This window comes from Homo sapiens, chromosome 3 (genome assembly GCF_000001405.40).
Source record: "Homo sapiens chromosome 3, GRCh38.p14 Primary Assembly".
Classification (NCBI taxonomy): domain Eukaryota; kingdom Metazoa; phylum Chordata; class Mammalia; order Primates; family Hominidae; genus Homo; species Homo sapiens.
This window is the reverse complement of record NC_000003.12, coordinates 50,830,130-50,843,081: the sequence shown is the minus strand read 5'-3', so window position 1 is coordinate 50,843,081 and position 12,952 is coordinate 50,830,130. Positions and strand designations below refer to the sequence as shown.

Below are 12,952 nucleotides of genomic sequence, written 5' to 3'. Positions count from 1 at the left end.
TGTCTCAATAATGTTTTCAAGCCACAAACTTTGCATCAATTTCATACTTTAACCACAAACATACAATAATTTTAATGAGCACAGTCCACGCGCTGATCCTCAAACACTAGTATTGGAAATAAGATAGTGGGAGGTGGCCAAGACCACAAATATTACTAAAATAAATAAATAGCACGCAATATCACAAATTACAACTATTCATTTATAAGATTCCTCATTTATTCCAGTTCTAACTTTTCAACAATTTTAAATCAAAATTTAAAAAATAAACCACAAGTAGAAACTATTCCCACGTAAGCATTCATGAATGTATTTCAAAATCAGAAATATAAGAAAAATTACCTATAAGCAGTGGTTCTCAACCAGGGGTCATTTTGTCCCCAAGACAAATTCAGCAATGTCTGAAGTCCTCTTTTGTTGTCACACTAAGGGACAGAGGGTTGCTGGCATCTAGTAGGTAGAAGCCATATACTCTGCTAAACATCTCACATTGCACAAGACTGTCTCCCACAATAAAGAATTATCTGGCCCAAAATGCCAACAGTGCCAAGAATGAGAAACCACAGCTAGGAGGCATTAAAATGTAAAGATACTGTTTCCTTATAATCATTACCTTAAAACTAATAAAACTGAATGATTCTACTGGCAAAACTGATTATTAGAACTCTAAACAATTTTCTTTTTGAATGAAAAAAGTGATAATTTTGGTATTTTTCTATACAAACAAAAACATACTGCATCAAATATTAAGCTACAGAAACATACAAGAAAAGCTGATAATATTAATTACATGAAAAAATATGCAGAAAGAAGTGTTTGCAAATACATTATTGGGAAAGATTATTTCTAACTGTATTATAACTGCTAATTAAACTATGTTTCATTAATATTAATTGTAATAAACATAAAATCTAGTACATAAAATTAGTATTCTACACTAACAACTTGTTTAAATTCATATTTCAATAAATTATGATTAGAGAAATATCTAATTGGATTATTTGAAAATATTTTCCATTGTGCTTTTAGAAACAATTCATCTAATTATATGGTTCCACAGGACTAGGCCTGTGAATAAGTCAATGTACTTTTTGTCAAATACCTTAAAGAAAAAAATATTTAAAAGCCTGAATAGGCTTTTTCAAGATAAGCTTTGCAGCTATGATATTTGCATTTCCTGTCCTTTCAGAAGAAACACTTTAATATGCTGAGACAGACAAGAGTTTGCTACAGTTTTGTAAAGGAAAGAATCATTGTGGCTACTGTAAAAGATTAAAAGATGAACCACTAAGAGTTGTTATATCAAACAAACATACAAGGTAGTTCCTTCCTACATTAGAAAAGGTAACAATAAACTTTTCATTACCTTCACATTTGGCTTCTTTGTTGAAACTCCTCTGTACCAACCTAAAACAAAGCATAAGAGAATATTAAAATCACAATGTCATGTTCAATAAGAGACACAATAGTATTTTTTGAAAAAAATAGATAAATGCACATCTTTCCTTAAAACACCCACTGTGGCTTTATTAGGATCTAGAGTTGTCATAGCAGCTTACTCCAAAAGGAACAGTCATATGGTGAATAAAACATTTCTAATTTTCATTACAAGGCATAAAGCCCTTTCAACTGAGTAAAATGCAATTAGAAAAGACTTCAGAGGACATGTAATTCAACAGCACAAAAATTCCTACATAAAGGTGTTGGGGCAGAGAAATGCTAAAATTGTATCACTTTTTTCATGGCAGATAGGGAGTACAGCCCAGACTTTCTGTTTCGCAGTCTCATTCAATCTCCCATACAGTATACTACACTACTCTCATTTCTTTGCCTTCCAGCTGCTAAAGTCAACATCCTTGCTAGTGCAGATCACCTTCTTGATTTATTTCCTTTCAGCATTCACATTCAGCAATACTAATAAAAGTTTCAATTACACAACAAAAAACAATTTTCAGAAAAAAGAAAATTTTACTGCCAACTCTTCTCAATTTCAATATATTATTTTCAGAGGTTTGCTATAGTTTCTTTATTTGGGTTTAAAAGGAAGCAGCTCCAATGGGTAGGAGAGGAAGCCAAGAGTTGTATTTAAAGAAGGAAGATAAAGAAGAGATTGCTGATGATAGCTAAATTAATTGAGAGGTTATCGTTGAGAGTTTGTCCTACGTATTAACTTTTAAAATAACAAAGCTATGAAAAAAAAGAATCAACTTTTTTCACCTGAAAACATAACAAACAACAAAAGAGATGAGCCTTGCTCCTACTTAGAACAATAGCTGAAAAAATAAATTTCATTAACTCATTTTATATCTTGAGTCTCATTTCTCCATTTATTTTTGAAAAATGGTGATAACTTACCAATGTGACACTTTACAGTATTTTAAGAAACGTAACAGAAAATGACATCATGAGGTGTGGCAGAGTAAGTCTCTTCAAAGAGCCTCTCCTCCATAAAAGCAATGAGAACACTATGAAGCTAAAGTAATCAAGACAGTATGATATTGGTGAAAGATTAGGCAAACAGAGAACTGAATAGAGAATCCAGAAATAGACCCACATAAATACAATCAACTGATCTTTGACAAGGGAGCAAAAGCAATAAAATGGAAAAAAAAGTTTTCAACAAATGGTGCTGGAACAACTGGACATCCATATGCAAAGAAAATGAATCTACATATAGATCTTACTCTAGTCACAAAAATAAACTCAAAATGGATCGTAGACCTTAACATAAAATGCAAAACTATAAAACTCCAACAACACAGGAGAAAATCTAAGTAACCTTGAGTACAGCAATGACTTTTTAACTACAACACCAAAAGCATGATCCATGAAAGAAATAATTGATACACAGAGCTTCATTAAAATTAAAAACTCCTCTGTGAAAGGCATTGTTAAGAGAACAAAATGACAAGCCACAAACTGGGAGAAAATACTTACAAAAGACATATCTGATAAAGGAATGTTATCCAAAATATACAAAGAACTCTTAAAACTCAATAAGAAAATAAACAGCCCGGCCAGGCACAGTGGCTCACACCTGTAATCCCAGCACTTTGGGAGGCTGAGGTGGGTGGATCATGAGGTCAGGAGTTTGAGACTAGCCTGACCAACATGGTGAAACCCCATCTCTACTAAAAATACAAAAATTAGCCAGGCATGGTGGCGCACACCTGTAATCCCAGCTACTCAGGAGGCTGAGGCAGGAGAATTGCTTGAACCCAGGAGGCAGAGGTTGCAGTGAGCTGAGATGGTGCCACTGCACTCCAGCCTGGGCAACAGAGTGATACTCCATCTCAAAAAAAGAAGAGGAGAGGAGAGAGGAGGGGAGGGGAGAGGAGGGGAGGGGAGGGGAGGGGAGGGGAGAGGAGGGGAGGGGAGGGGAGGGGAGAAAACAGCCCAATTAAAAAATATGCAAAACATCTAAACAGACACTTCACCAAAGAAGATACAGAGATGACAAATAAGAATATGAGAAGCTGCTCAACATCATTATGTGATTAAGCAACTGCAAATTAAAACAACAATGAGATACTACTGCATGCCTTATCACAATGGCCAAAATCCAGAACACTGTCCCGAACCAAATGCTGATGAAGATGTAAAGCAAAAGGAACTCTCATTCACTCTTGATGGAAATCCAAAATGGTACAAAGGCACTCTGGAAGACAGTTTGGCAGTTTCTAACAAAACTAAACATATTGTTACCATACGATTGAGTAATCCATTCCTTATATTTACCCAAATGAGTTGAAAACTTACATCCACACAAAAAAACTACAAATTGATGTTTACAGCAGCTTTATCATACTTTCTGCCAAAACTCAAAAGCATCTAAGATGTCACTCTTCAGCAGATGAGTGAATAAAACTGTGGCACATCCAATCAATGGAATGTTATTCAGAGACAAAAAGAAATGAGCTAACAAGCCATGAGAAGACACTGAAGGAATCTTAAATGCATACTGTGGATACATTTAACACCATATAATGATAATGCAAATGTGACACCATGCTCTCTTGTAGTCAACCCTCCTCCCCAACCTCTTGCCCCAGCCCTGACAATCACTGATCTAAGTAGTTTCAAAACCACATTATCATCTCTAAGGGAGGCCACCATTATCAGGTGCACATGAGAATTCTGCTCAGTGAACTTCAGCCATCACCTTTTCTTAAAACTGCAACTCTGCTACAAGCTTTGCCAAATGTATCCGTTCCATGACTAAGAAGAATTGAAGACAGTAAGGAAAAGAGAAAGGGAAGAACAACCCATTATTTTTGTTTCTTACATATGAACCAAAAAAGTTCATAAGCTCTCAAAGAAACAACTAAAATATCTCCCAAATCATTATGAATCAACAGGAAATATATGCTTTTAATGAACCAGTACACTGAAGTATCTTCCAAATGTCAATTTACCTACTGTCCAAGAACTCTGGAAAATCTACCTCTGCAATTATATTCTCCCCTTTCAGTTTCATCATTAATATCTTGACTTTACAAAATTTCAGAATACTAGCAAAGAAAGTGAAACTCCCCTTGATGTTCAGATTGAGTGTTCATCAATTTCAATGTCATCATATGCATTTAACTGAAGAACACATCAGAGTCTCATTTGGTGAGTAAAACATCTGCTGGTTTGATTACTACTAGGAACTTAAGGTTAAGGCAAAGTTTTATACTCTAATATTTTCAGATATAAATTTTTGTAGAAAATTAAAGAAAGGAAGGCATTCTTACAACACTCAAGTTTATAAAGACTTACGTCTAACTTTAACTTAAGTCAGAAAAATATAACTGAATTCTATAAAATGCTGTTGTATTGCCTCCAAAAGTTCTCTATTGGTCTTCTATCCCTTCTACCTATAAAAACCAGCTCTTCCCTTCCTCAGTAACTTGCTGCAACTCTCCAACTTCTAAGCTAGGGACATGTTACTCAGGGCATGATTGCAAGAAACACAGACTTTTTCCACTTTACCCAAATGAATGGAAATGAAAGAATTATTGGAAATGGTTTGGGTATTAACTTCAAATTCCAAAAGAAAAGTTTAACTTTTTGAGCCTTAGTTACTCCTCTGCTCTAAGCTCTCCAAAAGCATCCCAGATCAAAATAAAATTCAAAGTCTTTATTAGAGCCTCTGCTGATCTCAACTTCCACCACTCTCTCTGCTTCTCCCCATCCCATCCATCCACTGCAGCCATAATAGTCTCTCTGCAATTCCTTCAACTTACTAAGCAGGCTCCCGCCTCAGCACCTTTATACTTTTTGCACCATATTTCTGGACTGTTCTTCCCCTCCCCAAACCCCTTCCACCCAGAGTATCTCAGGATTGCTTCCTCATATCCATCTGTTCTCTGCCCAAATGTTATCTTCTCAGAAAGGCCATCTCCAATCATCCTATATAAATACACAGAAGAGAGAAGTTTTCCCGCACCCACTTCCCCACTAATATGGCCTGGCTCTCTGTCCCCATCTAAATCTCATCTTGAATTGTAATCTCAATTCTAATCCCCACATGCTGAGGGAGGGACCCAGTGGGAGGTAACTGAATCTGGGGGCGGTTACCCCCATGCTGTTCTCATAATAGTGAGTTCCCACAAGATCTGAAGGTTTTATAAGGAGCTTTCTCCCCTTTGTTCAGCACTTCTCTCATCTGCCACCATGTGAAGAAGGACGTGTTTGCTTCCCCTTCCACCATGACTGTAAGTTTCCTGAGGCCTCCCCAGTCATGCAGAACTGTGAGTCAATTAAATCTCTTTTCTTTATAAATTACCCAGTCTTGGGTATTTCTTCATAGCAGCATGAGAACAGACTAATACACTAAATTGGTACTGCAGAGTGTAGGGTGCTGCTATAAGGATACCCAAAAATGTGGAAGCAACTTTGGAACTGGATAACAGGCAGAGGCTGAAACAGTTTGAAGGGCTCAGAAGAAGACAGGAAAATGTGGAAAAGTCTGGAACTTCCTAGAGACTGAGGGCTCAGAAGACAGAAAGATGTGGGAAAGTTTGGAACTTCCTAGAGACTTGTTAAATGATTTTGACCAAAATGCTGATAGTGATATTGACAATGAAGTCCAGGCTGAGGTGGTCTCAGATGGAGAAGGGGAACTTGTTGGGAATTGGAATAAAGGTGACTCTTGCTATAGTTTAGCAAAGAGACTGGTGGCATTTTGCCCCTGCCCTAGAGAGCTGTGAAACTTTGAACTTGAAAGAGATGATTTAGGGTATCTGGCGGAAGACATTTCTAAAGAGCAAAGCATTTTCAAGAGGTGACATAGCATAAAAGTTTGGAAAATCTGCAGCCTGACAATGTGGTAGAAAACAAAAACCCATTTTCTGGGGAGAAATTCAAGCCTGCTGCAGAAATTTGCATAAGTAATGAGGAGCCAGATGTTAATCACCAAGACAATGAGGAAAGTGTCTCTGGGGCATGTCAGAGACCTTCGTGGCAGCCCCTCTCATCACAGGCCCAGACGCCTAGGAGGGAAAAATGGTTTCCTGGGCAAGGTCCAGGGCCCCACTGCTGTGTGCAGCCTAAGGACTTGGTGCCCTGTGTCCCAGCTTCTTCAGCTCCAGCCATGGCTAAAGGTATACTTCAGGCTGTTGCTTCAGAGGGTGAAAGGTACAGCTCAGGCTGCTGCTTCAGAGGGTGGAAGCTCCATGCCTTGGCAGCTTCTACATGGTATTGGCCCTACACAGAAGACAAGAATTGAGGTTTAGGAACCTCCGCCTAGATTTCAGAGGATGTACGAAAATGCCTGGGTGTCCAGGCAGAAGTCTGCTGCAGGGGCAGAGCCCTCATGGAGAACCTCTGCTAGGGCAGTGCAGAAGGGAAAGGTTGGGTAAGAGCCCCCACATGGAGTCCCCCCCGGGGCACTGCTTAGTGGAGCTGTCAGAAGACAGCCACCGTCCTCCAGAATGGGATCCCCAGGAATTAGAAGTAATAGATCCCTCTCAAAATATAAGGCTCTTTTCTGTTTTGCATTGTTTTATCTGATTTTTTTACTTTTGGGTGTATCAGAAATTCACATTATGAGAGAATTTTGGTGTGTAATAAACAAAATATACTTTGGTAGGAAATATATTTTTAGCAATGGCTATTGGCAGTTATGGGGGGATACTTGGCTCTTTGCATGTTTGGATAAGAGAAGCAAGCTCTTGGGCCACCTGGAAGGAATGAAGATATTCCTCTCCCACCACTGAGAGATAAGATCTCATGGGGTTTGGCTAATCACAGAATGAGCTGATTGGCTTTGGGTTGCTTTGCAATGAAATGCACAGTAAAATCATTGCACTGTCTTGTTCCATAAGGTTTCCCTTTTGAAGATCCAGAATCTGCTACAAAAATGGAACCCTTAATTTTGGGTTTTGTTAATCTGTTTTGCCTTCCAGTTGTGCCTGCTTATTAGGCCCTAAAAACTGCATACTTTAAAGAGAAACCTAAAAACTGGCTAATAAAAAATCTTACAAGTACTGGTTCTTCTTCTGTCTGTGTATTTATATGTGTTCTATGTAGGATATGAGGCTTTAATACAGGCTGCCCTAAGGAATTTTGTCATCCATGAACAATTGTTGTCTTGTTTTGATCCTCTTCAAAAGATGGTTTATAGTCAGCTATATAACTTTGACAGGTGCTCTCGAATGGAAGTTTCTGATAAGTTTGAAGACTGTGATTTTAATTAATTGGTTTAAAGGTAATAAGCACTTATATCAAATATTTTGTCAGAAAAGTAAAAAGTGCAATGCCTTTTAGTTCATGTGACTTAAGTAATCTTTGGGAAATAAAAACAGTTTTGCATGCAAGGTGTGTAAAGAAAGTGACAGGTGATTTGGTAAAAGATCATAAAAAGGCATGTGAATGTGAGGTGATTTTGCCTAGATTAAAGGGTTAAATAATTGTTTTAAGTTAGACAGGATATAGCTGAAGGTTTGTGCAAGTTGTGAAACATTTGTGAAAAATTAATCTTGTAAAAAAAGTCTGTGTGTGAACAATGGAATAAAAGTACAACAGGGTTTTCTCAGAGCACTAATCTGCCTTCTGTAACAAAAATTTTAAATGGTTATAAAAAAGGTTTATGAGAATCTACCTTATGGGCAAAGTGATTAAGACTGAATTGAATTGTCTATAAGGTTTTAAGAATTGGGTGTGACATTAATAGTACACTAATGCAATAATGAAATATGGCTTTCTGTCTTGAACAAGATTTTCATGTTACATTTAATAAAAAGAAGGATTTTTGTTTGCCCCTTTTGAATAACCACAGGAAAAAGAAGGGAAAGAAAAAAGACACTTTGGAAAGCTAAGTCTTCCCTCTTAGTTTTTGCCTTTTTTAAATGTTTGAGTTACCATTTTGGCTAAATGAATGACTTATAGTGACATGGAACTCTATTTTCTAATATGAAGTGTCTAAAAACTTTGATATTTGACAAACTTTCCAAAATCAAATTATAAAGTATGACTTTCTCTGACTTAATTAATATTTTAGCTATTAGGTCACCTAAGGTCCAAAAATGACATATTCAGCTTATTTGGTATACAAATCATACGGGAAGCACTGTCAAATATGAAATGGTGTTTGGCTTTCTTTGGGCTGTATTTGTGTAAATATTATTGGTATGTGTTCTAAAATTATGAAAAACTCCTATAATTCTGATATGATTTAGTGTGTGTTATTAATAATTATAACTTGTTATGTAAAATTGTTGTATGCCACAGAAGTAACTAAAATTAATAGTCAATTGTGGCTTTAATAGGGGCTTCCCTAAACAATTTGGTCATCCACAAACAATTGTTTTCTTGTTTAGATCCTCTTCAAAAACAATTATTTTCTTGTTTTGATCCCTTGAAAAAACCTCTTCAAGGTTTAAAATCAGCTATAGAACTTTGACAGGTGCTCTTGAATGCAGGTTTCTGGTAAGTTTGGAGACTGTGACATCAGAATGCAGGAAAAACTTTCAGGACTCTCCTGGAGAGCTGAAATGTTCATGAATATCAAGCAGAAGAGGAGTTAACTGCATGGATTAAACTAATAAAAGTTCAAAGTAATCTTTTTGACTTTGCTTAAAATGTTGCTGATCCCTTGTTTTGTTTTACAGAGTCAAGAAAACTTTTCTTTTGAGCTACTTACAGCTTTTAACAATTAAGTGAAGTATACTCCTGTGAAAAAAATTTGAAGCATATTTGTCTCTCTCTACCTGATTTCTCCAGAATTTGGAAACTATTTGAGTATTCTTAATTTATGGCAATATAGTTATTTGCATAAGTGCAGTAAGAATGTTCTCTTTTGCAACAGGACACAATTGGAGAAATTGGTTATTTTACCAAGGTTTTGACTGGAATGGTGTGCTTTCCTTTAAGGAATCAAACTTGACGTGTAGAGCAATAAAAGCCTCATGGGAAAACTGACCTCATATCTTGTCTACACAGTCCCTGTACAAGATTCCAGACCTGTGGTAGGTAAAGAATGTCAATTCCTGAAAGGCCCAGGGGCCTCAAATAGTCTTGAGACCCCAAGAGGAGATGAGTTTACCCAATTCATAGGTATTTGAGGGTACAAACCCATGGCTGGGCTTGGCTTTTAAAAAAAGTTTTATCTGAGATTCCTTATGGAACACAGTTCCATCAAAGCCTATTTAAAAAGCCTATGTGAAAAATAATTATTCTTGCTGTACTTTAAACAAATAATCAGGCCAAGAATAAGAGTAAGGTTTATTTTTGCAAACAAATTGGTCCTATTATGATTTGTCTTTAGTAAAAATGGAAGACTAAAGAGAAAAAAATATGTTTCAAGAACTATGGTATGCCTGTTATTAGATTCTACTCTCATCAGTTGTTTCGAAGTTTTATCTGCATTTTAGATTAACCCTGCTTATCCTGTGAACCAACCAGTGATCTCTGACTGCTGCTCAGAAGAAACAGAGGGATGAGTAATGCAAAACTCTGTATCAATATTCTAATTCTGGGCACATATTGGGATCAGCTAGCAGCCCCATATCAGCTTGGTTCCAACAACTGCCCAGTTCATGAAAAGCTTTCTTATTTAGTTTACTTGGGATAATTTTACTTACTTTGCTTTACTGTGGTGGAATATATTGCTGTTATACTCCTTGTATAGGAATGCAGGATAAGCTTACTAAATGTTTTCTTAAATTGAAGACTTATTAATCTTCCAGATATCACCTTTGTTGAAACTCAGAGCTATGAACGGCCCTCGACAAACCAATGCTTTCTGACTGAGCTCCTCTCAAACCTGAATACAAGAGACCCTGATAGTTAGGCAGGAATATCACCACCCCTATTCAGCCTGAAGAAGTTTCAGAAGCTAGATCTTCATCCCTCTACTAACCTTAGGATTAAGAGTTCCCTTGTAAAAGGGAGAAGAAAAATATGTCAGAGGCGTTTGAATAAAAGCAACTCCATCTTGAATAGGGGCTAGGTAAAATAAGGCTGAGACCTACTGGGCTGCATTCCCAGGAGTTTAGGAATTCTAAGTCACAGGATGAGACAAGAAGTCAGCACAAGATACAGGTCACAAAGACCTTGCTAATAAAACAGGTTGCACTTTTCTTCTAAATTTGTTTAAGCTCCTTGTAGATTCTGGATATTAGACCTTTGTCAGATGAATAGATTGCAAAAATTTTCTCCTATTCTGCAGGCTGCCTGTTCACTCTGATGATAGTTTCTTTTGCTGTACAGAAGCTCTTTAGTTTAATTAGATCCCATTTGTCAATTTTGGCTTTTGTTGCCATTGCTTTTGGTGTTTTAGTCATGAAGTCTTTGCCCATGTCTATGTCCTGAATGGTACTACCTAGGTTTTCTTCTAGGATTTTTATGGTTTTAGTTCTTACGTTTAAGTCTTTAATCCGTCTTGAGCTAATTTTTGTATAAGGTGTAAAGAAGGGGTCCAGTTTCTACTTTCTGCATATGGCTAGCCAGTTTTCCCAACACCATTTATTAAATAGGGAATCCTTTCCCCATTACTTGTTTTTGTCAGGTTTGTTGAAACAATCTCATCAAAAAGTGGGCAAAGGATATGAACAGACACTTCTCAAAAGAAGACATTTATGTGGCCAACAAACATATGAAAAAAAGCTCATCAACACTGGTCATTAGAGAAATGCAAATCAAAACCACAATGAGATACCATGTCACACCAGTTAGAATGGCGATCATTAAAAAGTCAGGGAACAACAGATGCTAGAGAGGATGTGGAGAAATAGGAATGCTTTTACACTGTTGGTGGGAGTATAAATTAGTCTGACCATTGTAGAAGACAGTGTGGTAATTCCTCAAAGATCTAGAACCGGAAATACCATTTGACCTAGCAATCCCATTACTGAGTATATACCCAAAGGATTATAAATCATTCTACTATAAAGATGCATGCACACATATGTTTATTGCAGCACTATTCACAATAGCAAAGACTTGGAACCAACCCAAATGCCCATCAATGATAAACTGGATAAAGAAAATGTAGTACATATACAACATGGAATACTATGCAGCCCTATAAAAGGATGAGTTCACACCCTTTGCAGGGACACAGATGAAGCTGGAAACCATTATTCTCAGCAAACTAACACAGAAACAGAAAAACCAAACACCACATGTTCTCACTCACAAGTGGCAGATGAACAATGAGAACACATGGACATAGGGAGGGGAACATCACACACCAGGGCATGTCAGAGGGTGGGGGACTAGGGAAGGGATAGCATTAGGAAAAATACCTAATGTAGATGACGGGTTGATGGGTGCAGCAAACCACTATGGCACATGTATACCTACGTAATAATTCTGCACATGTATCCCAGAATTTAAAGTATAATTTTAAAAAATAAAAAAAATTAAAAATAAATAAATAAATAAATAAATAAATAAATAAATAAATAAAACAGGTTGCAGTAAAGAAGCCAGCCAAAACCCACCAAAACCAAGATGGCAATGAAAATGACCTCTGGTTGTCCTCATTGCTCATTATATGCTAATTATAATGCATTAGTATGCTAAAAGACATGCCCACCAGTGCCATGACAGTGTACAAATGTCATGGCAATGTCAGGAAGTTATGCTATATGGTTTAAAAAGGGGAGGAACCCTCAGTTCCAGGAATTGCCCACCCCTTTCCTAGAAAACTCTTGAATAATCTACCCCTTGTTTAGCATATAATCAAGAAATAACCATAAAAATAGCCAACCAGGAGGGCTGCTCTGCCTGTGGAGTAGCCATTCTTTCATTCCTCTATTTTCCTAATAAACTTGCTTTCACTTTAAAAAAATAAAAATAATACGCATTCTTATTTAGACTGTGAAATGTCCTTGCCAGTCACCCAATGCAAGTGAAGTTATACTATCCCAAAGAGCCAACAGTACCACTACAATTGGTACTGACAGAGAAGCTGCAGAACAGTGTCGGCAGTGTGAACCCAAAAGAATGAAGCCTCTATACAGATCAGGCCATGTGACAGTCAACAATCAGCAACCCTTTACAAAGATTCCAGGTGCAAACCAATCAAACCAGATCAAAAGCATCAAATGCAGTCCAACAAAAAAATACCCCTTTGATAAGAAGTTTCAAAGGTGAAAGTTTTTTATTCCAAAGGTGTAACATATATTCCTCACCGATGAATGGAAAAAATGAAAATTTATTTATACCCAATACCTGGCTAATAGCTGCACAGGAAGTAGAGACAGGTAGAAGATAAGCACAATTTCTCTTCCATTCCATACCATGATTAAAAGTAGTTTAATAACAAATCATGGTTCTTTGTAAAGACTTGCATGAGGACCCACTTTAGACATCATTTAAGCAACCAATTGTAAATTCAAGAGCCAAAAACAAAATCTACACCCTTTTAAAAATACTGATTTTTTTCACTTTGGTGCATCAATAAAAATATATGGAGTTCACCCAATTATGGATCCCTTTTCCAGTTATATAACTAATAATA

At 36.8% G+C, this 12,952-nt stretch overlaps 1 protein-coding gene across 22 annotated transcripts in view; it reads right to left on the bottom strand.

Moving 5' to 3' along the window:
* Positions 1-12,952, bottom strand: part of DOCK3 (dedicator of cytokinesis 3) — a 709,272-nt gene that overhangs the window by 541,117 nt on the left and 155,203 nt on the right. For all 22 annotated transcript variants that reach the window (XM_005264914.4, NM_004947.5, XM_006713010.4 and 19 more), the window contains exon 3: positions 1,367-1,407. In XM_005264914.4, the coding sequence (XP_005264971.1) occupies positions 1,367-1,407 (41 nt within the window). The remainder of the gene's footprint in view (positions 1-1,366; positions 1,408-12,952) is intronic.